At 43.1% G+C, this 27,458-nt stretch overlaps 2 annotated features.

Annotated features, from left to right (window-relative positions):
* Nucleotides 1,934-2,435: an enhancer, noted in NCBI's record as "NANOG hESC enhancer chr8:140009858-140010359 (GRCh37/hg19 assembly coordinates)". NCBI's record gives its function as "activates a minimal SCP1, AML or CMV promoter by ChIP-STARR-seq in primed H9 embryonic stem cells {active_cell/tissue: H9 hESC(primed)}" and the evidence as "EXISTENCE:reporter gene assay evidence [ECO:0000049][PMID:30033119]".
* Nucleotides 25,871-26,372: an enhancer, noted in NCBI's record as "H3K4me1 hESC enhancer chr8:140033795-140034296 (GRCh37/hg19 assembly coordinates)". NCBI's record gives its function as "activates a minimal SCP1, AML or CMV promoter by ChIP-STARR-seq in naive H9 embryonic stem cells {active_cell/tissue: H9 hESC(naive)}" and the evidence as "EXISTENCE:reporter gene assay evidence [ECO:0000049][PMID:30033119]".

Genomic DNA, 27,458 nt, shown 5'->3' on the forward strand with positions numbered 1-27,458 from the left:
ACCAGGGCAGCCAATGGTGTAGCTCCAGTACAAAGGCCAGCAAGTTTGAGACCCGGAAAGAGCTGATGTTTCAGTTCTAATCCAAAGGCAGCAAAAAGCTGATGTCCAGGTTCAAAGGCCATCAGGCAGGAAGAATTCTCTCTAACTGGGAAGAATTTTCTTTCTGAACTGATTGGATGAAGCCCACCACATTAGAGAGGGCAATCTGCCTTACTCATTCTGCTGATTTAAATGTTAATCTTATCCAAAAACACCCTCACTGAAACACCCAGGATAATGTTTGCCCAAATATCTGGGCATCCTGTGGCCCAGTAAAGTTGACATAAAAAATTTACCATCGTACCTCATATGGCATCTGGCACACAGTGCAGTTAGTTAATGTGAAATGGCATGTGTTAAATAAACGAATTAGTGGCATTTGTATTTCTTCTCTGAAGCTTCTAGCTCACTTCTGACAGAGTCACGCAAACAAATACAAATGGAAGCATACCACACCTCTTCTCAAACCTGGATGCCTCTCCCCATTCCCTGTGCAACAAAGTTTACAATTTTCTACATGGTATAAAAGACCTTCCATCAACCAGCCCCACCATTTAGGCTTTCAGAGAATCCCGTGCTAAGATACCACCTGGTTTACAATGATTCTACACATTCCTTCTATTTCCTCATGGATTATAAGGCCCTCGACAATAGGAACTGGGTGTTATGTTCTTAATCTCAGTATCCCATGGAGCAGCAGGTGCAGTGTAGGCGCTCCCTGGTGCCTGGTGATTTAGCAAATAAGTGAAGGCTTGCTTCCTTGTCTCATGTTTGGCAAATGCCTGGGTTCTGCTAGCAGGTGTCTGGAACTCACAGTGTGCAAGTACACAAGGGTGGGCTGTGAGCCTCCAGCAAAAGGGAGGTGTTTCTCTCAAGAAAACTCAAAACCGCTTATGCTTGACCCTAATCCAGGCATTTCACGCAGCACGCCTGATTTCCACACTGTTGCTCTATACTAGTACTCCCATGGTAGTTTTGCCCATATGAGCTTGGTCTCTCAGCTTAACAATACACTAACTATGCTTATGCAGCACTTACTTGATGCCAGCACTGTTCTAAGATCTTTACCTCTATTAGCTCATTTACTTGCCACCACAAGCCTTTGAGGTAGAGACTGTCATTTCCACCACATTACAGATGAGGAAACAAAGGAAGAAGGAAGACAAGTCACTCGCCTAAGTGCACATGGCTGGTTATATGGCGGAGCCAGGATGCAGACCCAGGCAGGTGATTCTTCCTTAGTGGGTTCTGTTTATGATTCTTCTTTTTCTCCATCTCCCCCAACCCCCTAAGCACACGGGACCTGCTCCGATGTACTTTAGAGTATGGGAAGATGGCATCAGCAGCTGTATTTGTTTACTATTGCTACTGCAAAAAGTCATCACAGACTTACTGTTTTAAAACAACATGAATTCATTCTTACAGTTCTGGAGGTCAGAAGTCCAAAATCAGCTTTATTGGCCCCAAATCTCTGTGGCCTTGGGGCTACACTCCCTCCCTAGAAAATAATGCATTTCCTTGCCTTTTCCAGCTTCTAGAGCTGCATCCCTCGCATTTCTTGGCTCCTGGCCCCTTTTGCCATCCTCAAAGCTGGTGAGCAGCATGTCACTTCAGGGCCACCTTGCCATCTTCTGTGTGAAATCACCCTCTGTTTCCCTCCTGAAAAGACACTTCTGACTGCATTTAGGGCCCACCCAGATGATCCGGGATACTCTCCCATCTCAACATTCCTGACTAAAACACATGTGCAAAGTCTCTTCTTCCTTACACGGTAACACTCACAGGTTCTAGGGATTAGAGTCTGGGTAACTTCGGGTGTCATTACTCAGCCCATTACATCAGCCTTCTAGGAATTCATTGCACTGAGTGACCTCTCAGAGGAAGCCAAAATGCCACCAATGGAATGGCCTCATCTAAGCCCTGGGAGCCTGTAGGTGAAGAGCACACTCCCATCCACCACACCTAGTCTACCAAGCTGCACTCAGCCTGACCCAGCTGGCTGGCCATTTACTTTTTGGGGGCACTCTAAGTAGCTTAGGATCAGAACTTCTGAGCTGCCCAAAGTGAGCCTCTTCTGCTCGGGGCCTCAGCCCTCAGCCCACCTCTCCCCATAGTGCCCTCCTGCTGGGGCCTTTAGCCACAGCTTTGTACTTGCAATGTCCTTAGATCTCTAGACATCTCCATGCCAGGCACCTCGGGGGATATAACTTTATAGCCCTTTGTGTTTGTGACATGATTGGCAGCCTCCAAATCTCAAGGCCTTGGGAGGAAGAGGAGTTCAGTTGCCCACAGGCTATGGCTCCAGGAGACTGGACAGATCAAAGACAGAACCACTTAGTTTAGAGAAATCGACTGTTTGTTGGGATATAATCTACACACAACGCAATTCACCCATTTGAGGGGTACCATTCAATGGTTGTGTAATGTATTCACTGAGTTGTACAACCATAATTGCAATCTAATTTTGGAATATTTATATCATCTCAAAAGAAAACCTTTACCTACTGGCAGTCACTCCCCATCCCACTCCAGCCCCCTCTTCCTGGCATCCACTGCTCCACTTTCTTTCTGTATAGATTCACTTATCCTAGACATTTTATGTCAATGGAATTTTACAATATGTGGTTTTTTTGTGACGGGTTTATTTCATTTAGTGTAATTTTTAGAACTCCTTTCTTTCCTCTATAGATTTATCCCCAAATATCTCTCAAGTGCTTACTATGCCCAGAGTGGACTGTTTCAGATAGAGAGATATGATATGCTTGGTCTTTGACCACTAAGGAAGTCGGACCACATATATTTCAAAATTGATGAAGTTTTGATCAATTAATTGATGTCCAGTCTATCTCTCTCAATTTATGAATGCTGAAATGAAGGACAAGAGAGCCAAAGTGATTTTCCCCCAAAGTCCTCCGGAGACAGGACTGGAGGCCAGACTTCCTGATCCTTGTTTAGCATTTTTCTCAGCATGCCAGCTGACTCCATTCACATCACACAGCCAGGACAGAGCCAGGACTAGAACTCACGTCTCCCCATTGCAAATCTTTTGCAATTTTTCTAACATTTGATTCTCAGAAAGAAGTGACATGTAAATTATCTGGGGTGGAAAGTGAAAACGATGTGTAATGATGCAACGTAACTCAACTTGGAGCCAAAATGAGCATATTCCACACCTGGTCATTCCTGCAGCTTACCGTGTGAGGAAGTTACTTTCCTTCTCTGGTCTTAATAAAATATGAGAATCTCTTTAAGGTCCCTTTCACATTTAATATTTTGCAATTTAGGTGGCACGAAGAGTCTGTTTCTCCAAGGTCACAGAGCATTCTGCCTTTATCTGTCTGACTTTAATTCCTAGAAACTAAACTAAGCTATATCATCCTCCATTCTTGCTTCCCTTGAAAAGTCAGTGGGGCAGCCCATCAGAGCTTAAAGAGTGGGCATTGGGTCTTGAACTGCTTACCTTGCAGACAACACAAGGAATTGGGCCTGGTTCTGCCTCCTAAGTCCCCCTTCAGTCTACAGGCAAGCAGAGGCAGCAAATCACACAGAACCCTCTCCTCCAGCTGGCATGACCTCCCCTCATGCCTTCTGATGAGAACATACACAGCTCCTTCTGCCTGTGGTCATTGCCTCCTGTGGGTCTTCCAGGCAGGTCACCGCTCCATGGTGTGGGGCTCAGAATTCTCAGGCTGGGTAACAAGACAGTGAGGTGGAGTTTGATTTCACTGAGGAAAATAGTAATGGAGATGTATTGAATACTTGTTTTCTGCTGACTTAACTCTGCTAACTGCTTTTAGGTCATTTTATTTAATGCCCACAACTCTCTATTCCCTATTTAAAGATGAGGAAATAGGACTGGAGTTTAGGCACCATGCCTTGGGCTACACATTTAGTGGAGTCAGTGTTCCACACAAGTTGAATGCAAAGCCTGAGCTCTAATCTGCCACACTGAGGCACTCCTTCCACTGTGACTCAGGAAGGATGCTAATCCAGTGCACAGCTGGTCAGTCATTCAGTTTCCCAAGTCTGCCTCTGTGTTCCCAAGCAGTAAAGCTGATGTTTAGACACAGGATTTGGGATGCACAGCTCAGTGACAAGCCACTGCTGCCACCTGCACCTCAGCACAACCCCTGTCCTTCCAGGCAGGTGATGAGAGTTGTCCTGAGAATCTCAGCTGACTTTGTCATTTCAATTTAGAGATGTGCAAATATACATATATCTATTTCAAGGGCTTGGCAATACATTTTATAAAAACCACTTCCTGCCCCTGAAATCAATTAGATACATTTCTTAAACTGCAGAGGAGTGTGTCAGCTGCAGTATCTCCCTAAATCGAGTGTGACAGATAATAACTCCATGGCCTGCCAGTTCCCAATGTATCACAGAGCAGGGAGCCCTGATCCTGTCCACTGAAGAGATGTGCCTTTCTCTCCCTCTTTGAAGGCATGCAACATTTGGACAAACCTCTGGATTTGATTTATTGATTCTGGGGGTTCTATATCATAGGATGGATGGATGGATGGAAAGAGTTAACTGCAGAGACTTGGCCTGGCAAGGACTGGCCTTTCAGTTAATGATGGAAAACCATTTATTTATCCATTAATTTATCCATAATTTTCCGGTCCATCTTCTCTGTGTTAAGAACTGAAGACAATGGTGAGCAAAAGCAGATCTGATGTGTGCACTTGTGGGGCTGGGAAACACGCCCACTGGCAGAATTGCATGATCCACCAGGAGTTAGTGACAGACAAGGGGTGGTCCTGAAGCAGGGTGCATGGTGGGGGTGGATTAGAGCAGTCAGGGTCTAGAAGGAGGTAACATAAATCGAGATGACTAGACAATAAACTTCTGGGCAAGACCAAGCAGAGCCTTACAGCAGGCGTAGGGTAGGGGCTATGATTGGATGCATGTTGTGAAATGAGGTTCCCCAGAGAGGGTTGTGGGGCAAACACAACTTGGAGGATAGAACATGTGCAGACTTCATGGGTCCAGAATGCTCAGGACTCCAGTTAGACCCAGGACCTCATGCAGACCAGCAGGTCCCGAGCAGCGGTTCAGGGACGCTGAGCTCCCACAGGGATGTGGTGCATACACTCAACTCTGTTTCTTTGAGAGCTTTTAGGATACCTCTGTTTATAAGTAACAGAAATCCCAAATCAAACCGGCTTAGACAATAAAGGAGGTGGGGTTTGGAGCTGGTTTAATAGACCTGTCTCTGCAATTCCCTTTATTCTGCCCCTCCCTCATGTCTGCTGCCTTTTTTTCCCCTCACAGTGGGGAAACCACAGCAGTAGTTCAAGTTCCAAGCCTTGTATCTGCAGCCACAAATAGAGAGGAAGAGGGGTCTGTTTTTTAGGATTCTCTGCAAAATCCTGAGTTCATAAACCACCCACTGTGGCAAGGGAAATGTCAGGCATCTAGAGGCCGAGGTGAACCACAGAAAGGATGGAATTAATCTTTCAGTCTTAAACACCTCTGTAGCTTAGGGCGGGTTGCAAACAAGCCCCAAATCTCCTAGAACACACAGATCTTCTCCAGAATAGTGGCATCTGATCCTGACCACCCAGGAGAGAAGGTTCATTTCCTGTGGATGGTGAGTGATCCTTCACTGGAGATGGTCAAGCCAAGGCCAAATGACCACCAGGCAGAGCTGTTGGGGACTAGCAAATTATCAGAAGGAAGTTGGACCCAATTGCCTCCTTGTTACTTTGAATCTATCACGACAGTGTTACTTAATTATTCCCCTTATTTTGCTGAAGATGCCCTCACTGAGATCAGCATTTCTCATTACATTAATTGTTTCAATATTGTCTGCTGGGAAAAGGACTTGGCTGGGTTTCAGAGCTCAGGAGCGGTCAGGAGAGGTCAAAGCAAGTAATTTCCCCACAATATGTCGGGCTTTTTACTAACAGTCACAGAATGCAAAAGCCCAAGGACTTCTTTGAGGTGTGGCTGCTGAGGCACAGAGAGGCATAGGGTCTTAACTATGAAGACAAAGGGAGTTGGTGGAAAAAGCAAGTGGGAAGCCCAGCTGTCACGACCCCCTGGGCCATGGTTCTTCCTCCTCACCATGACATCTTCTTGTGGCTAAGTGAGGAGGGCTGTCCCAGGCTGGGCTGCATCCTGCCCTGTGCTTTCACCTGTCACAGGCTGTGCTGCATCCTGCCCTGTGCATTCATCTGTCACAGGCTAGGCTGTGCCCTACCCTGTGCATTCATTTGTCACAGGCTGGGCTGCATCCTGCCCTGTGCATTCACCTGTCACAGGCTGCGCTGCATCCTGTCCCATGCATCCGCCTGTCGCATGCTGTGCTGCATCCTGTCCTGTGCATCCAACTGTCGCAGTTGGGCTGTGCCATACCCTGTGCATTCACCTGTTGCAGGCTGGGCTGCATCCTGCCCTGTGTATCCCTTCACCTGTCAGAGGCTTGGCTGCATCCTGCCCTGTGCATACACCTGTCACAGACTGGGCTGCATCCTACCCTGTGCATTCACCTGTCACAGTCTGGGCTGCATCCTGCCCTGTGCATTTACTTGTCACAGGCTGGGCTGCATCGTGCCCTGTCCCTTTACTTGTCACAGACTGGGCTGCATCCTGCCCTGTGCATTTACTTGTCACAGGCTGGGCTGCATCCTGCCCTGTGCATACACCTGTTGGCCTCTCTGGACATGTCCTGTCCTCTGCCAGCTGACCGCTAACCCTCATCTTTCAGAATTCCTCCTGAGCATCAGAGATGCTGAATGCTTCCTTGATCCCCAAGCTCCTGAAACTTGATCTTTCCTCTGATGGAATTCGAGATCAAGTTTTAGGAGACTGGGGATCAGGGAAGCATTCAGCGTAGAAGAGTTTCTTTTGTACTCTGTGCAAACTTCCCTCCCACTCTCAAAGAATTGAATGGTCCTTGGTCATGTACAGTTGATCTCCTTTCTCCAGACTACGCCTCTTAAGGACAGGACCCTTAACTTGTTCATATTTCTCTGAATGCCTAGCATGGTAGGCATTGTAGAGGTTCAAACAATGCTCAATGGCTGAATAATTGAATGAGGAAGTGAATAATACCTTAAGCGAACAAATTGAAATTACACAAATGCGATCACCATTTCAATTAACATTCCTGTTCAAAGAGGAGATAATAAGAAATCATGCAACATTGTTGAAAAGAACTGTGTGCACTCTCAATAAGCCAACAAGTGAAACTGTTTCACATTTTAACTGAAAGATGTGTCAGAGTATATGGAAAAAACCTTCTGAAACAATAAGGGATATTTTCAGTAAAAAATGTCTATGTATGAATGAATGTATGCTGTCTATTTTAGTTAGGTATGCATTATAAATGTGTGTCTATATTTAACTATATTTTAAATTAGGAATTCATCTGTGAAAGCTTTGCCTAAAGCCTTCCAATCACTTTGCACTGCACTTGGAAAATACTGAAGCCCACTGACAGAGGCTGCAGGCTGTGGCATTTGCCTTCCTCTCCCTGGCATGTCCTGCCACCCTCCTGCTGTCCACACTCGAGACACTCTTGCTGGGGGCTGCATGCACTGACTTGATCCTTTTCAGGGTCTTTGCATTTTTCTCACCATCTCACTCTTACCTCATATTTTAAAATATCTGATTCTTACGTATGATTTGGACCTTTGTTACTGAGAGAGATGCGTTTTCTGGAGTAGTTCTTTTCCCGGTCACCCTGTCGCCTCTTCTTGTGGGATGTCGTTGTTGACTCATTCGTTTGCCTCTTGTCTGCCTCCTTCATTCGAAGGTGAAGTCTGTCAGAGGCCTTGTCTGTCTTGTTCTTGCCATACTCTGATATCCAGCAGGGTATTCTAGCACAGGGAAGTAATATATATTGAAGGGACACAAACATAAAATGAACATAAGCCCATAAAAATTGTAAGAAATAAATAGTAAACTCTTTACGGTGGTCATCTCTGGCAGTGAAGTAACTGTGAGAGTATAGTCTTCCTACTATACTTGGCAATACCTTAAGAATATCTTACATGAACATGTTTGGATTTTTTTTTCAAAATACATTTCTTAAAAATTTATGTCATCTTGGCTTTGAATTATTTTTAACAAAAAGCTCTTGTTGTTTTTCCCCCGGGAATTGTCATCTATACATGCTGTGGCAAACCTTTAAGCATAAATAGAAAAGCTCCTCTGATGATGTCACATGGATGGTGTCCTTGACATCCTTGAAAGATTAAGCAGACACAAGGAAAGGAAAAAATAGACTCATGAGGCTGAATGGAGCCATCCATTTATCTAATCCATCTTGCTTATTTTATTAATGATAGAACTGAAGCTCTAAGAGTCAGGTGCTACAAAAGTGGAAAGATGCAAGAGTGGGGAGTAAGAGTTCTGACCACTTGTTGCTGGGTGACCCTGGCTAGTCCTCTGCACCCTCTATGCACCAGCTTTTTGTACTATAAAACATGAGGGGCGTTGTCTTGCCGGCTTCTGAGGTCTGTTCAGTTCTGCCAACCCACACTGCTCTTTGTGACTCAACAAGTCCTACATGAGAAATTCTGACTACCGTGAAAGTATAACCATGATTAATTTTTTGAGTTATTGATTAGAGAAAGAGCCACACTACTTCAGAGTTTAAGGGAAGTACAGAGAGTAAGATGAGGATATGGCCATGCTGAGCACATCTTCTTCCAGCTATGATGTTGAAAGTCTCAAGCGACTGTCCTCAGCATCTTAAAAACCAAGGACAAGCTGAATAAATACAACAATCATAATTTTAAAAAATCAGAAATCTGCACATGCAGAAACAAAGCCAGAATTAAATTCCCAGAAGGAGTGAAGTCTTCCTAGTCTTCCTAGGAGAGGAGTCCACATATGTTTTCATCCCCAGGGTCATGACAGAAGAAGTGAATCTGTTATAGGAGAACCAAGAAGAAACCAGCTCACATTTTTACCATGTTTCATGGCCACATGTGAGGTGATAGGATGGAGTGGAATTGCTAGGTGCCTGCATCACAAAGCTGGTTGCAATCACTTGCCAGCATTTTCCTTGGGGCCCTTGCCAAGTGTGTATGATATGTTAGAGGTTGGAGGAAGGCAGGAGAGCTAAAAGAGAACTTCCAAGTTGGATGGAGCCTTTCCTGCTGCATGTGAATGCTTGTTTTTGGGTGGAGTCAGGGCAGAAAATATAGAAAAGCTCCTAGAGTGGCCTGCCAGGAATGGAAGGTAGCAATCTTCCAAAGTCTGGAGGTAGATCGGAGAGATGAGAGAGATTGGCTTCACTAAGTATAAGGTGGCCGCTAGCTGAAGGCTGGGACAAGGAAGAAGGAAGGAAATGGATTGCCACAAAAGAAAAAGGCTAGAAGTGGGACAAAAGAGACTCAAAAACCTGATGATTATGCCTATAATCCCAGCACTTTAGGAGGCCGAGGTGGGTGGATCAGCTGAGGTCAGGAGTTCGAGACCAGCCTGTCCAACATGGTGAAACCCTGTCTCTACTAAAAATACAAAAATTAGCCAGGTGTGGTGGCAGGCACCTGTAATCCCAGCTACTCAGGAGGCTGAGGCAAGAGAATCGCTTGAACTCGGGAGGCAGAGGTTGCAGTGAGCTGAGATCATGCCATCGCACTCCAGCCTGGGGTACAAGAGTGAGACTTCATCTCAAAAAAAAAAAAAAAAAAAAAGCCTGGTGACTAGGCTTTAAATCAGACAGAGATAGTTTTTGATTCAGAAAATTGCCAGATGGGTAGTAAAGCATAAAGAAGTTTTTAGAGTTTAACCAGTAGTCAGATCCTGAGAACTTTCTAAGCATAATTATTATGTTCTTTGGATCTACTGTATCCTTGCATATAATGCATACATATAATTTTAAAAAGGTTTAAAGATATGTGTAGCAGCAAACCAACCAAAATGCAGCCAAAATTAAGTGACACAACATTAACCAGAAACAGATCCAGAGGTAGCCCAGAGTTTGAAATGAGGAGATGAGGACTTTAACATAACTATGAAAAATATGTGAGTAAATCTACTGGAAATGATAAGGAGCTTAGATACCTGATGGGAGCTTGGAACTATGAGAAAAACAAAAGAACATCAGATTTATAAATATGTACATAAGTATATTTAAAAACCTTATTTATTATCATGTACACTTTAACATATTGACTGTATAAAGCAAAAATAACACAGTATTGTGGGGTTTGTAAAATCTATAAGTACAGAGCACAAAGGGCAGAAAGGAAGTAAATGGAATTATATTTTTGTGAGATTCTCACATTTTTTTCTAACGTGTATGATTGTTTGAAGGTAGACTGTGATATTAATTATGTCTGTAATAATCTTTAGAGCACAACTCAAACATATCATAAATACATTGAATTTATAAGTACATAAAAGGACCAGGCTCAGTTGCTCATGCCTATAATCCCAGCACTTTGGGAGGCCGAGGTGGGCGATCACTTGAGGCCAGAAATTGAAGACCAGCCTGGCCAACATGGTGAAACCCTGTCTCCAGTAAACATACAAAACTTATCTGGGCTTGGTGGCACATGCCTGTAATCCCAGCTACGTGGGAGGCTGAGGCATGAGAATCGCTTGAACCTGGGGGGTGGAGGTTGCAGTGGGCCAAGATCGCGCCACTGCACTCCAGCCTGGGTGACAGAGCAAGACTCCATCTCAAAAAGAAAAGAAAAGAAAAAAAAAACAGTACAATAAAGGATATCATATCAGTTTTCTACAACTGCCATAACAAATTATCACAAACAGGGTGAGTTAAGCAAATGAAATGTATTTCTCCGACAGTTCTGGAGATAAAAGTCTGGAATTGAGGTGTTGATGGGACCCTGCTCTCTCTGAAGACTCTAAGGGAGGACCCCTCCTTGTCTCTTTCTGACTTCTAGTAATGTTGGCAATACTTGGGATTCCTTGATGAGAAGATGCACTATTCCACTCTCTGCTTCCATCTTCACATGGTGCTCTCTGTGTGTCTCTGTCTCTGTCCAGATATCCTCTTATAAGAACATCACTCACTGGATCAGAGCCCACACAAATCCAATGTCACTTCATTTTAACTTGATTATATCTGCAAAAACTGTATTTCCATATAAGGTCACATTCACAGGTAATGAATAAATCTTTTTGAAGGACACTTTCAACCCATAACACAGTTATAATGTGGTATCAAGAAATAGTCAAAAATGTAAAAGAAGGAACAGAGTAACAACAGATGAGACTAGTAGAAAATAAATACCCAAGTGAAACCCTAAACTTAAAAATAGTGATTATGACACTTACTGCAAATGGATAAGTTCACCACATGAAATGTCCAGATTATAAAGTTGTATAAAGGAAAGACAAGATCCAAGTAGATCTTGATTAAAACAACATAACTTAAACCTAAAGACATAAACAGGCCAGGCACGGTGGCTCACACCTGTAATCCCAGCACTTTGAGAGGCCGAGGTGGGAAGATCACCTTAGTAAGGCCAGGAGTTCGAGACCAGCCTGGCCAACATGGTGAAACCCCATCTCTACTAAAAAAAATATATATAAAAATTAACTGGGCGTGGTGGTGGGAGCCTGTAATTCCAGCTACTCAGGAGGCTGAGGCAGGAGAATAACTTGAACCTGGGGGCGGAGGCTGCAGTAAGCAGAGATTGCACCACTGCACTCCAGCCTGGGAGACAAAACGAGGCTCCAATTAAAAAGAAAAAAAAAATACTTAAACTGTTTAAACATGAAAGGATGTGAAGGGATATCTTTGCAATCACTAAACATAAGAAAGCAGAAGGAGTTCTATTAATATGAAAAAGGAGACGTCAAGATAAGGACTATTACCAGAGATAAAGAATATTTAATAATGAGCAAAGCCCAATTCATCATAATGCCATAACAATCTTAAATTATATGCACCTAGCAACAGCTTCAACTGCTGTGAAGACAACAGAACTACAGGGACAAATAGATAAATCCATCTTTGTGATTGGAGAATTAACATGCTTTTCTCAGTAGCCGAGTAATTGATTTAGGAATCAGAAGAAATGAGTTAGAATGTATGTGGCCAACTGCCACAATTACTACCTAAGACTGTCACTTTCCGCGGTTACTACTGTTACTACTTGAGACCGTCATTACAGGACTGAATGAAAGGGGAGGAACGCAGGAATGAAAACTTAAAACGAAAGAATCTGTTTTAAGGAAGGGGCCAGGGGAAGAAGAAGAGAGCTCCTTGCTTCTAGTGAGCAAAGGCAGCACCCCTGATCTTCTACAGCCCTTCGCATTTATTGGGTAGAAACAGCAGGGAGCACGAGGTAACGACTGGTCAACTGCTTAATTGATCACAGGTTCACATTATTGCTAACAGGCTTCAGATGTGCCTAATCACAAGCAACACTGCACTTAGGGTGTGACTGCCCCCAGCATTCCTTCTGGGTGGCAGACGCAGTTGGTCAGTTTGCCAACATTCTGCATTTATGAGAACAGTTTGCTGTTTACTCATGTGGCCTCCAGTGGTATACTGAGTTGATCACAACCCTTACTCTTTCGGCCTGCAACAAATATAGACTGAGCAACACTACCATTAATTTGGCTTAATTAATATTATAAAAACATGTACCCAACAAATGCAGAAAAAAACTTTCTTTCAAGTTCACCTGGAACATTTGCCAAAATAGACCAAATGTCGGGCCACAAAAAGATTCAATGAAAGCCACACAATTGAGAGTCATACAGAGTATATTTGCTGACTACATTAAATAAAATTTTAAATCAATACAATAACATATCTAAGAAGCTCCAACTATTTGGAAATTATTCAATAAACTTTGAAATAACCCGTGGGTCAAAGAATAAATCTAAAAAAATTGGAAAACACTTTCATATAAATGATAACAAAATATCAATATTTCACAATGCTGGGATGCAGCTAGAGCAATACTTAAAAGGAAATACCTAGCACCAAATGCCAATATTACAAAAGAAATAAGATTTAAAATAAATTGACTAAGCTTCCACCTTGGGAACATGAAAAATTTATAAAAAAATAAATTCAATGTGAGTAGAAGGAGAATAATACAAATAAAATCAGAAATCAATGATATATAACAAAGGAAGACAATAACGTCAACTTAATCAAGATTTGGTTATTTGAAAAAGTTAACAAAATAAAATTAATAACTCCATTGCAAGATTTACTAAGAACAAAAAAGAACAGGTAAGAAAAAGAACAAAGTTGGAGGACTCACAGTTTCTGATTTCAAAACTTACTACAAAGCTGCAATAATTAAACGAGTGTGGTACTGTCATACAGACATTCAGATAAATGGAATAGAATAGACCACCCAGAAATAAATTCTTACATACGTGGTTCATTCATTTCCAACAAGGACACCTAGATCAATGAGGAAAGGACAGTTTTTTCAACAATGGCACTGGAAAAACTGGATATCCATATCCATAAAGAACAAATTTAGACCCTTAGCTTACATCACATACAAAAATGAACTCAAAATGGATCAAAGAGCTAAACATAAGAGCTAATACTACAAAACTCTTAAAAGAAAACAGAGGAGAAAAGTTTCATAGCATTGGATTTGTCAATGATTTCTCAGGTATGGCACTAAAAGCACAGACAATGAAGTAAAAATAGATAAATTGAACTTCAGTAAATCTAAAAGTTTTGTGCATCAAAGGACATTATCAACAGAGTATAAAGGTAATCCACAGAATGGGAGAAAATATTTGCAAATCATATATCTTGTAAAGGACTGATATCTAGAATATATTAAAATTTCTACAACTCGACAAAAAGCAAACAAACAAGTTAAATATGAACAAAAATATTGAACAGACATTTCTCCAAATAAGATACATAAATGGCCAACAAGTGCATGGAAAGATACGCAATGTCACTAATCTGGGGAAATGCAAATCAAAGCCACAACGAGGTATCACTTCATACCCATTAGGACAGCTACTATTAAAAAAAAAACAAAAACAAAAACAGAAAATAAGAAGTGTTCTGCAAAAATTGTGTCACAATTGAAACCCTGTGTATTGCTGGTAAGAACATGAAATGATGTGGCTGCTGTGGAAAACAGTATGGCAATTTCTCCAAAAAATTAAACATAGAATTACCATGTGATTCAGAAATTCCATGTCTGGGTATATAAATGAAAGAATTAAAATGAGAGACTCAAACAGAAATTTGTACACCCATGTTGACAGTGGCATCATTCACAATAGTCAAAATTTGAAAACAACCCAAATGCCCATTAACATATGAATGGATAAGCCAAATGTGATACACATATAAGGTGGAATATTATTCAGTCTTAAAAAAGAATTACAGTCTGCCACATGGTACAACATGGACGAATCTGAAAGGAATTATGCTAAATGAAATAAGACAAAAGAAAGAAGGGAATGGGAAAATATATTTTTTTATTTGTTTGTTTGTTTGTTTTGAGATGGAGTCTCGCTTTATCACCCAGGCTGGAGTGCAGTGGCACGATCTCAGCTCACTGCAACCTCTGCCTCCTGGGTTCAAGCAATTCTCCTGCCTCAGCCTCCTGAGTAGCTGGGACTACAGGTGCACGCCACCACGCCCAACTAATTTTTGTATTTTTAGTAGAGACAGGGTTTCACCATCTTGGCCAGGCTGGTCCCAAACTTCTGACCTCGTGATATGCCTGCCTTGACCTCCCAAAGTTCTGGGATTACAGGCTTGAGCCACCATGCCTGGCTGGGAAATTATTGTTGAATAGGGGAAAAGTTTCAGTTTGGGAAGATGAAAAAGTTCTGGAGCTGGGAGCTGGTGACAGTTGCACAACAATGTGAACGTGCTTAATGCCACCCAAGGGTCCACTTAAAGATGGTTAAAATGATACATTTCATATTATGCATATTTTACCACAATAAAAATAAGAAGAAATAGGACAGAGAGAATAGTGCAGGATTTTTATACTCTCTTCTTAAAAACACAACAACTAATAGCTAAGATATGTCTATGAAGACACACAATACACAGCAGACTTTTAATATGCATTAGTTTCTCTCTCAAAAATATAATCAGGCAAAACATTTAAACAGTGTATTGTATGTATTTCATATTAATGAAGCCTTAATCATAGTAAAAATGTAGAAACAACCTAAACATTCAACATTAAAGACTCGGCTTAAAAAATTAGAGAATAGGCAAATCCATAGAGAGAGAAGATATCCAGACATTATATCTGGGTAGTTGCCGGGGGAGATGGAGGAGAAATGAGGAGTGGCGGCTAATGGGTGCAGGGTTTCTTTTGGGGATGATGAAAATGTTCTAAAATTAAACTGTGGTGGTACTTGCACAGTTCTGTGTATATACTTAAACCACTGCATTGTACATGTTGAATGAATGCATTTTATCTTAAATAAAGCAAAATAGATTTATGAAAGAATGTTTACAAATGGTTTAGTAAGGAGAAAACATGAATTCTAATAGCAGGAAAAAAGGTATATTACTACATATTCAACAGACACAAAAATGATAATGAGGCATTTTTAAAAACTTTAAGCCAAAAAATTTGACTTTTTTTTTTTTTTTTTGAGATGGAGTCTTGCTCTATCACCCAGGCTGGGCTCACCACAACCTCCAACTCCCGGGTTCAAGAGATTCTCGTGCCTCAGCCTCCAGAGTAGCTGGGATTACAGGTGTGCGCCACTATGCCCAGCTAATTTTTTGTATTTTTAGTAGAGACGGGGTTTCACCATGTTGGCCAGGCCTGTCTTGAACTCCTGACCTTAGGCGATCTGCCTGCCTTGGCCTCCCAGTGCTAGGATTACAGGCATGAGCCACCACACCCGACCAAATTTGACAATTTTTTTTTTCTCAAAAAACACAACTTTCTAAGACAAATAAAACGAGATGGGATATCTGCATAGCTCATATTAAAAAATGAAATTTTTAATTTAAAAACTTCCTCCAAAAGAAAACCTCAGACTCAGCTTCAATGGAGAATTATATCAAACATACAAGAAATAATACCAATCTTGCAAACATAACTTTCAAAACAGAGGAGGAGGGAATGCTTCTTAATTAACTTACTCTTTGAAGTTGGCATAAGCCTGAAAATGACAACATAGGAGGATATTAAAAGTAAAGAAAACTACTAGAGACCAACATTTCTCATAGATAGATATGCAAACATTCATAATAAGATATTACTAAAATGAATCTAGAAATACATAGAATGTGACGAGGTAAGGCATATCTCAGTAAGGTAAGGGTGGCTTTGCATGTGAGAATCATTGCATTCACCCAATTAAGATGACAAACCATAGGACCACTTTAGTAGAAGAATAAAAATTACTTGTTATAATCTAATAACTGTTCAGGATAAAAATCTACACCAAACAGAAACAGAAGGCAATGCGCTGAATTTGATGGGAAGGGTCCTCGGAAAACTACAGCCCTCCTCATACTTAATTGTGAAGCACTGAGTGCTTTCCTGCCGTCACTGGGTACTGGGCATGCATGACCACTTGCACGACTCACATGCAATGGCACTGAAAGTCTTAGACCGCAGACCGACAGGCATGCAGAAGCAGGGAGGGCATCAATATCACAAAGGAAGAACTCAAGCTTTCTGCATTCTCAGGTCCCATGATTGTATATGTAGAAATATCTAAGGAAGCTACAAAAGAAAGCTAGAACGCTAGAACTGTTCAATAAATTTAGCAAGGTTAACTTGCCCAACAACTGGATAACCATATTTTTAAAATCTCCATCCCTATTTCAATCATCTAGACAGTAATTTTTTTTTTTTGAGGTGGAGTCTCACTCTGTCGCCCCAGGCTGGAGTGCAGTGGCATGATCTCAGCTCACTGTAGCCTCCACCTCCCAGGTTCAAGCAATTTTAATTTTAATGATATTATCTAACAATACAATTTTTTTTTTTGAGACAAAGTCTGGCTCTGTCACCCAGGCTGGGGTGCAGTGGCGCAATCTCAGCTCACTGCAACCTCCGCCTCCCGGGTTCAAGCCATTCTTCTGCCTCAGCCCCCCAAGTAGCTGGGACCACAGGCTTGTGCCACCATGCCCGGCTGATTTTTGTATTTTTGGTAGAGATGGGGTTTCACCATGTTGGCCAGGCTGGTGGTGAACTCCTGACCTCAAGTGATCCACCCACCTCAGCCTCCCAAAGTGCTGGGATTACAGGCATGAGCCACCACTCCCGGCCTTAGACAGTAATTCATTTAATGTAAATTTGAAATGAATCATAGACTTAATTTTAAAAACTAGAACCATGAAACTTACAGAAGAATATATATTTTCTCAAATACACACTCTTCGTGTAGACAAAAGTTTCTTAGGGCACAAAAGTACTAACCCTAAAAGAAAGTAAAAAGAAATAATGGGTGTCAGCAAATTGTTTTTTAAATGTGATCATCAAATGACACCTTTAAGTGAATTCATACGTAAGCAGAAGACTGGGAGAAAATATTTGCAATGTGTATCTAACAAATAATTTATATTATGATATAAAAAATACTAAAAAATCAATAGCAAAAAGACAACCGACACCTCCTGACTGCACTTTTGTACGGATGCTGAGTGAATTCTCATGGCTTCAGAGAAGGCCTTAAGGCAGATAACAAAAAACAGCAAGTGCATGAAGTGTGTTGCTATCTGCAAGTCTCTTTCATCTGTAGCTGTGGCTGAAACCACAGTGGGGGAGGAGATGCCTGGTGGAGCACCCACGGCATCTTTTATTGATAGGTTCACTCCCATAGCCACTTCCTTGATGGTCAGGGAATTAAGATGAATAAAGAGGCCGCCAACATATCGCCCGAGTCTAAATCTTTCTTAGGAATTCGAGGACATCGTAAGGAACGCAGCGTGGAAAAGCCCAGCAGAAGAGGCAGGAGATGGCCCTAGCTCCATAGCTGCACCTGCGCCATCCACAACACCGCAGGGCAGGTATTCTGGGGCTATGAAGGGAACCTGGCCAGGGGCTGGACATTAGGAGCCTGGGGAAGGAGCCAGGACCCTGTTTCTCCGGTATATTTAGGTGGAAATCCTTGGGGACTGCAGAGTGGGAAGGATTTGCAGAAACAACTGTATCCTACTACTTACTAGTCATGCGACCTTACACGTTTTACTTCCTTTCTTAGAGCTTCCACACCCTTCTTTGTAAACTGGGAATAATAACAGTTTATTTATGATAAAGATCATAAATTTTCCTCCCAGGGTTATGAGAAGGATCAAATGAGAGAAAATGTAACTGTAATCTGAAAAGTATTATTATTAAGACAAACAACATTGAAAATGGACACAGTGTACAATGCCTTACATATGTCTTAACAAGCAGAAAATAACCAACAGGAGGATGAATATATTTCTGTTGACTTTTTAGAAGAGCAAAACACAAGTACTGTAAACTTACGTAGAATGAGCTATGTATTAGTCTGTTTTCATGCTGCTGATAAAGACATACAGAGACTGGGAAGAAAAAGAGGTTTAATTGGACTTACAGTTTCATATGGCTGGGGAGGCCTCAGAATCATGGCAGGAGGTGAAAGGCACTTCTTACATAGCGGTGGCAAGAGAAAATTAGAAATAAACAAAAGTGGAAACCCCTGATAAACCCATTAGATCTCAGGAGACTTAGTCACTATTACGAGAATAGCACTGGAAAGACCTGCCCCCATGATTCAATTACCTCCATCTGGGTCCCTCCCACAGCACATGGGAATTCTGGGAGATACAATTCAGGTTGAGATTTGTGCGGGGACACAGCTAAACCATATCAAGCTACACCACATCAGAATGATCTACTTTTTATTGAAGGAAACTTCTCATTGAAATATTTTTTTTTTTTAAAAAAAAAGAAAATCTAATCACTAAAGCTAACAGAGAGTGCCAACAAAATCAATAATATAAGCCAAAATACTGCCCATTTCAGTTAAATTATCTGTATGGAACAGTACAAAATTAATTGTGAGTTAGAATATTTAAGTTACTGTATATTTTATTTTAGGTTTAAAAGTAAAGATAAATTAAAAATAAAATGATGGGGAAGGACGTTCAGTGAAGTTAACATGTACAAATGTTCTTAGCAGAGTAGAAACTGATAGAAATATTTAATAATAACTGAAATTAAATTAAATATAGAGATTTATTTTTAAATAAAGATATTAATAAAAGAATAGACACACCATAGGTTCCAACTGGCAGAGAATAAGGAAATCACAGGCTATTTTGTCTCTCAAGAAAAGAGAAAAATAAACATTTGCTCAGAGTTTCTGAGGGTCAGGAATCTGGGGGCAGCTTAGCTGTGGGGTCCTGGTTCAGAGTCTCTCGTGAGGCACCCCTCGAACCCATGGCTCAGTCACCTAGAGGCACGATGGGTTCCCTTCCACATCACCCACTCCCAGGGCTGTGGGCAGCTCCTCCCTGGCTGTGGCATGGGAACTTCTCCCTGGACATCCTCAGGGTCTGCAGGACACGGCACCTGACTCTCCCCAGCATGAGTCCTCAGAGAGAGGGGGTGCGAGTCTCCCACCTGGAAGCTGCAGTCTTTTTATAACTGAAACTCAGAAGTGCCCTCCTTTCTGCTGCACTGTATTCATTAGAGCTGAGTCCCGAGGTCCACCCTACACTCAAGATGAGGCTGACACAAGGAGGTGAGAAGCAGGAGGAGGGAATTGTTGGGGGCCACCTCCAGGTTACCTATCGCAGTGTGTGTGTGTGTGTGTGTGTGTGATGGTGGTGTCAAATATAAAGCAATTCAACACTTAGGAAAGGAGACATGACTCCCAAGGATAATTGCCAAGGGAGAGAAGGACCATGGTATCTGCCAGTCTCTCAGAAGAGTTTATCTTTTAAAGTACAGAGTGAAAGAGTCTAGAAAGAAACAGGTGTGTGTGGGAGTTTTGTCCTCAGGCAGCCTGTTCCCTGGAGGGCCTTTGGGAGCACTCAGGCTGGGGTCTGGGGTCTGCAGGGAAAGAGCAACAAGCAGAGTTTGGTTAAAATGTTGTTGTTGTTTTTAAATTAATCAGTGAGGACAAGAAGTTCTGCTAATTGTTTAAGGGGCAAATAATGGGAATGTGGAGGTCTGTGCCTGGTCTTGCCATAGGTAAACAGGGGGCATCTATGCGCCTTATTTGGGGAGGAGGGCTTCTTGCTATAAGTGGTTTCCTGGCGCACACAGTTTGGGATGGGGAGGTTCTTTAGCTGTGACCATCTTCCAGCATCACGGCTGGGGTAAAAGCCAGGATTGCCAGTGGACAGCGCTGTGGCGTGGACCTTCACAGATAGTTAGAATTTCAGTAGCTATAGAAGGTGCAAGGTTTATATGATTTGGGATGTGCTCAGCTGCTAGTAACAGAATATCCAATTAACAGGGCTTAAGGAGAAAGCCTGGTTATCCCTCCTAACAAGAGGCACTGGGTCTGGCAATGCCAGGCTTGCTCCAGCAGCTTGGCCATCCTGGGGTTCCAGGCTTTTCCCTCGATGTTGCATGAAGCCACTGCTGGTCCAGCACCCTGTCCTCATGCAGAAGCTGCTCGGGAAGGAAAGAAGTGGGCCAGGCAGAAAAGGAGGCTTTGCTTTTGCTGAGGAGAAAAAGCTGTCACAGAAGAGATGTGGCAGGCTTCCCAGCCACCCCCAGCCAGAGCCCTGGCAACTGGTTACCCTTAGTTTGAGTCTCAAGGCAAGTGGGGAAGAGGCATCGGGGAAGGGAGAATGGGAGGCCAGAACTGGTCTCAGCTCAGGGGAGCTCAAATCAAGGTCACCACCGCCTGAGAGACACCAGGGTTTTGTTAGCAGGGATGAAGGGGTGAGGGATGGGTGACTAATGGCTGGGTAAAAATCAATGTCTGTGCCAGGGTGCTTTGGACAGAGCACCTCTGTGCAGCTCAGGTTCATCCAGACGTCTCGTTAGAGAAGGACTGCAGGGTACCACGCACTGAAGGACGGTGGCCCTGGCCTGGAATCTCAGCCTTCACTTCTGCAGTGTTCCTGGGAGATGTTGATGTCGCTGACCGAGGAACACAACCTTGAGGATCACTGGTATAGGCCAAGGTTCGGGGCATGAAAATCTGTTTGAAGTTTGGAGACTCTGCAGTAATCAGAGGGTAAACAGGTGGACTCACCCCACACAATGGTGCGTCTAGGTGGCTAGCTGGGACGTTTAGCCTCGACACTCGCTGTGGTCTAGACCACCTTGTCTAATAGTAGAAATAGAATGTGAGCCACAGAGTGATTTTCAATTTTTTTATATTCATATTAAAAAGTAAAAAGAAGCAGGTGAAATGAATTTTAATAATATATTTTATTGATCCTAAATGTATCATGAATATAAAATTTTTAATGAGATAGTTCATGTTTTTTTTAATTGTCTTTAAAATCTAGCATGGCTTTCCCAGGACATCTCAATTCCTGCCAGCCCCATTTCAAGTGTTTGGTAGTCACACGTAGCCAGTAGCTACCACATTAAGCAATGCATTTAGAGCTTTCCTCGGCTGCCTGGCTGGAGGTTGCCATCATTCCAACCCTAGGCAGTAGATAAGGAAAGGTCAGTAAGAACATTTGCAGTGGTTTTGGTCAGACAGGCTGAAGTCCTGGGTGTGCAGGAGACAGCTGGCTTCATTAGGTGAACTGCCATTTCTGTTATCATAGCCCTCATGTTAGCCCCTGACTTAGTTTGGCCCTGATAAAAGTATTCCTTATCTCAAATGTGTAGAAATAAACAAAGATCACCCAAATGAGAACAAACAGAGGCTATTTCTTCAGAATTTGCAGTAGCAAAAAGTTCAGCCCTTGCATTTGGCAGAGACTCAAAGGCAGGAAGAGCTTTACAGAGGAACACAGAGAGGCAGGGGTATGTGCTGACTGGGGAAGGTGCTGGCTGGAGCATCCGATGTCATTGGCTTAGGGAGCATATTTAGCTTTATCTGAGTGGTCCTGAGTTGAAAGTGGAGCAGAATAAGGGAAACTGGCAGTTGTTGACCAAGTCCTGATCATTCTGGGCCAATGTCTTCCGAGGCTGTGGTCCGGCTTCCTAGCTGGTTGCTACAGGAGTTGTGGGTCAGAGTTCTGTTGTCATCTGTGGACATGGTCTATGTGTATATTCTGTCTCTCTCCTGGAAAACCACAGCTCAATTCTATTTCAGCTTACTGGGGCTAAAATGTGAAAATCCAATTGCCAAGAGTTCTTTCTAGAAGCGTTGTGATTCCAAGGTTTTCTACTTCCTTTTGTTTTCTTAAGCCAACACCTGCAGTGTAACGATGTAATAAGAGGGCCCTGCATACTAGCCCCAGCTCTGCTATACATGATTTGTGGACTTCAGGGAAGTCAGTTCCCCTCAAGGCCTCAATTTCTCCATCTGTAAAATGAGATCAATAAATTACAAAACCTTGCGTTCTCCCAAATGAGGTAACCTTCTTGTCTATAGGGCTGGATATTTTCTGTTATTGCAGCAGACATAAAGGTAAATAAAACATGGACCTACTTTCAAAACATTACGAATCTAAGAAGTCAACTAGCCCTGGGCCTGTAGATGATGACGGTGGTGATGTTGACGGTGATGATGATGATGTTGGGGATGGGGATGATGACACAGGTTGATGGTGTTGATCGTGATGATGAGGGTGATGGGAGCTGGATGATGCGATAGTAAGGATGATGATGGTGTTGATGGCGATGATGAAGGTGATGGGAGCTGGATGATGCGATGGTGAGAATGACGATGGTGATGTTGATGAGGATGCTGGGGCTGCTACTTCTGATGGGGATGACGGTATCTTGACCATGGGGACACCGGTGATGTGGATGAGAGTGGATAGGAATCGAGCAGAGCCTCTTTGCCAGGCACTATGCTTAGATATTTAAACACTTTGAAATACTCTTCACAACTCTTTGAGAAGCTCCTGTGATTATGTGCATATCTATGAAGAGGAAACTGAGGTTTAGCAAGAGTAAGTAAATGGTTCAATGTCCCACTGCTAGCAAGTTGTGAAATCTAGATTTTAATGTTAGTACTTTTGTTCCAGAGTGGGTTCTATTAACCACTTTGCTCACCTGCCTCCTCTGTTCTGTGCTGTTTTCTAAAATAGGATGTGCTGTTCCAGAAGTGTGTGCAAAAATGCAGGAACAAAAGGAAGCATGCAGTTCTGCAACGCGGGATGAGCCTGAAAAAATACTCACAGATGTGAATTTAATTATCATTTGAATAACCAGGAGAAACAGAGATGGGGTCGGTTATTCTCAGCAGAACCAGTAGGAAATTTGCTACAATGAGGGGTCATGGTCCTAATTGGGACAATGTGGAACATATTATGGCAGAGGTGGGGAATGAAGCTGCAAGATTGTTTGCATCCATGTAGTTATGAGAAATGAATTCTATGCTAGGGAATGTAGAGTCAATTGCACCTGTAATTTGTTGGGTTAGGGTTGAGGGTAGAGTTTGTGGATAATTGAAAATTAAAAATGCCTTTGATCTGTGACCTTAGACATCTGCTGACCTGCTGATCTGGCACTCAGCCAGAAGCAACAGTACTCAGCACTGTGTTTTTCCTCTCCTACTTTCACCTTCAGCATGAGGGAAATCTCAAGTGTGCTGGCTTTTCCTGGAGCCCTCAGGATCTCATCTCACCTTTGCTTTTAGGAGAAGTCACACAACTCCGTAAGAACAAGAAGTAAGTGAAGTGCTACGTCCAACTCCACGCGGAGAAAAGTGACATATCTCCAATAGAAGCAACAAAGTCTGTAAAGATTCCTATTCCACAGCCAATTAATTCCCATAACTAAGCAGAACACATATTTTCTCATTCTGTCTCACAGAACTTGTTCAGGTTACTTTGCTGAATGAAATTTTTTTCCTCAAGACATGGGGATAAGAACTTCTTTATGTGTGCATTATCATATAGGGCATCTCCTGGCATAATATTTAGTCTTCCCTAAAAAATGGTAAATTTGGTCTACTCTTAGGGTATAGAAATAATTTACATCTTTTTTCAGGATAATTTCCTGTCTTAAAAATATTAGAATCCAGTTCAAACCCACAGCCCACCACCGTCACAGCAGCCTGCCTGGGTCAAGCATTCTCGTATATTATGCAGATCCTCAGCGCTCATGCCCCTGAGGCAGGGGTGGAAGCTGGTCCCCTGCTGGGGCTGACCACCTGCTTCTTTCTCTCTGGGTTATTTTCCTTCATGCTCCTTTGACTTCAGGAGATGAGACGGTTCTTGAATGAGGGATGAGGTCTCGTTTACTCACGTGTCCTTGTCCTGTATCTGGCACCATGGTTGGTATTCTATAAAAGGAGACAGAAAAGAAAGGGCAGAAAGGAGACAAAAGATGACAGGGAGAAGAGCAAAAGGAGAAAAAAGAAAGAATGGAAATAAGTGCAAGAAGGAAGAGAAGGTGGTGAGTGGAGGAGGCATGGGCTGGGCCCCCGGAGGTTGTCTTGGGGACCTCCCAATGTCCCATTTCATAGGTTGCCAGACCCTTTCACACGCTTATTCCTTTCTATAATTTAAGAGTCAAATCTCCCACCATCTTTTAAGCATCAGCGTCCTGTGGACCCAAGAGTGTCAGAGAAGAAGAAGAATGAACCATCCAATGTACATGAACCATCCAATGTACGTGAACCGTCCAATGTACGTGAACCATCCAATGTACGTGAACCAATGCGTGTGCAAGACTCTACTTTTCAAAGCATGTTTTTCCCATTGAGTCACGGGCCACCTTAACTTCCCACCAAAGTTCTCACCAAATAAAAATATTCATAGCAACCTTCAGGTACAAATATTACTACTATCTTTTTGAATTTTTAGGGAAGCAACCTGATGATCAGAGAGATTTGCTTAGAGTCACTGAGCTTGTAAGGGCAGACCTGGGACCTTCACAGCAGATTCTTCTGATTATAAATCCTGAGACTCCACCTGTGGGGTGACTGCAGAAGGACCCCCATATTCCATCGCCTACCCAGCAGCCTGCCAGAGTCAAGTGTTCTTGTGTGTTATGGAGTTCCCCACCATTCATGCACCAGGGCTACTGGAATTTGAACCATGTTGGGAGGGGACTGGTCTTATCCAAGTAGACTGTGGTGATCAATGTGTGCAGAATAAAACTGTGCTAAGCAAGGACTGCCAGACAACTTGGCCCCAAGGGAACAGATATTAAAAAAAAATCAGAGGCAACCCACTAGCAGCACCATGACCCCCTAGAGGCAGTGCGAGAGAGCCTTTGTCCACCCTCCCATTCTAGCAATGAGGAAAGAGGGGAAGTGGCTGCTGTCAGAGCCAAGTCCAGAAGTAGGAACTTGTGGTGGAAGCCCACAAGGCTCACACATGTCTCTCCAGAATACTCGTTACAAATCTGCTCAACAATTGTCATTTATCTCTGCCTCCATCTCTGCGTGGTGCCTGATTCTCAGGAGGCCACTGATTTGGCCCCAGTAGACATTTAGCTGGGAAAGTCTCCCTGTTCCTCAGATCTCTAGCCTCCACTGGGTACTGCTGCCCTTTGATGTAGGAAGATGGCAGGATGCACCTGAGATCATCACAAGTCACAGGCTAGAGGAGTTTTCTGCTGTTTGTGCCTGTGTGTGTTTCATAACTGATCTTTTTCTTTGTCATATGTAAAATAGGGTTAATGATTTCTATCATCAGGGTTGTTTCAATAATAAACACTATAATAAAAAGCACTTATAAGCCAGATGTGCATATATAATAGAGATAGAAATAGAGATGTGTGAATATAATAGAGATGGAAATAAATTATTTATTAAATGCTGAACGAAAAATTTTGGGGTAGTTATAACAGCATTCATTATGCAGATGAGGTAGCTATACAGTTCTTTGAGAAAATAACAATAATAGAGATAACAATAACCAAATAACAACAATAACCAAAATTACAAACACATTCACTGATGTCCTTGGGTAAGACTCCATTAGGGTCACTTGGCAATAAATGGTAATAAAACCGGAACTAAACATCTCACACCCACTGGCCTTTCTTTGCGATTCAGGTGGCTCTAAATGTTGGAGGCAGAGATTGGGCTGGGTTGAGGCTGGGCAAGTTGACTGCAGAAGGGGCCACGGTGTGGAAGGGGCCACAGTGCAGAAGGGGCCACAGTGTGGAAGGCGCTCTGGACTCTGCATTCCATGACACCAGGTGGTGGGGTCTGTGAGAAGTGGGGCACTGCATGGTGAAGGTTTAGAGACCCACGAGTAAGTGGTGAAGGGAGGGAATGAGGATCCTATGCCAGTGTCCAGCCCACAGCCCCAGGGCCAGGAGAGGGAGAGGGGCTGGAACACAGCTCAGAAATGTCCCCACATCTCCTGGGAGGTGACTGCAGTGACCCGGGCCTGAAAAGGCACAGAACCTGCCTCTCTGGGGAAGGAAGGAGTCGCACCATGCATCCTTGTCCTACTGCAAGGGGGAGCAGGAGAGCCAGGGCGGAGAGCAGAGGGAAGGAGCCGGGGGCTGGTCCCCCTCTGCAGGAGCCTCTGGGCTCAGCTCCTCTGCCCTGGGAGAGAACCCATGATGTGGGTGTCAGCGAGGTGCAGAGAAGCAATCTCAATGCTGAAAATGAGAGCCTGGTGTTCTGCGGCACCGAGCAGCAGGGGGCCACTGGTATCATCTGCTTGCCAATTTTATTCTCATTTCAAGGTGCTGATGGCATCACTGGAGGTGAAGTCATTTTCTCAGAATTTAATCCAGGCCGTTGGGACAGACCTTGTCAGCATGGAGGGAAGGGAAGAAGGAGTCGTAGAAGGAGCTCCAGGAGATCACAGCCAGGTGCCTGGGGGTCAGAAGGACGATGTGATAGCAGGTGGGAGAGCCCTGTTCAGGGACCTCACCTCGGTGCCATCAGCTCCTTCTCAGACTTTTCATCCTTTGGGATTGTGTCCTCTTTTTCCCTTGCAGGGATCCTGCATCCTTGGATGTCAACCCTCCCGCCAAGCAGCCCAGGAAGACTCTGAATGAAGCATCAGAGCTTTGCTGTAAAGGACTCTTAGGAAAGGAGAGTGTTTCTTGGGTAACAGTTGAGGCATTTCTGTAGCTGTGTGCCTGTTAACAAAGGAGGAAGAAAACGTCTCAGATCCAAGATAGGAATTTTAGCAGTCTGAGCTACTACCAAGAATGGCCAAGAGATTTATGATTTTTCTTTTTTAATTGTGCTGTGGTTTCTGGATTATGCTTAGTATTTGTTCTTTCTTTCCACATGTAAAAACGGAAAGGAACCAGAGTTAATTGCCCAACATGATCTTAAATGCCACAGAAACCTCCCAAATTAAGTATTAATTAATCACATCTTGCAAATGAAGAGAATGCTCAGAGAAATGAAAGACTGACCAGCGGGCAGAGGCAGAGTTGAGATTGGAACCCATCTGCCCGAGCCCCAGAGGACTCTTTTTCTATTTTACAGGCTCTCTTTCCCACCTCTGGGAATGCTGA

This window comes from Homo sapiens, chromosome 8, assembly GCF_000001405.40.
Source record: "Homo sapiens chromosome 8, GRCh38.p14 Primary Assembly".
Classification (NCBI taxonomy): domain Eukaryota; kingdom Metazoa; phylum Chordata; class Mammalia; order Primates; family Hominidae; genus Homo; species Homo sapiens.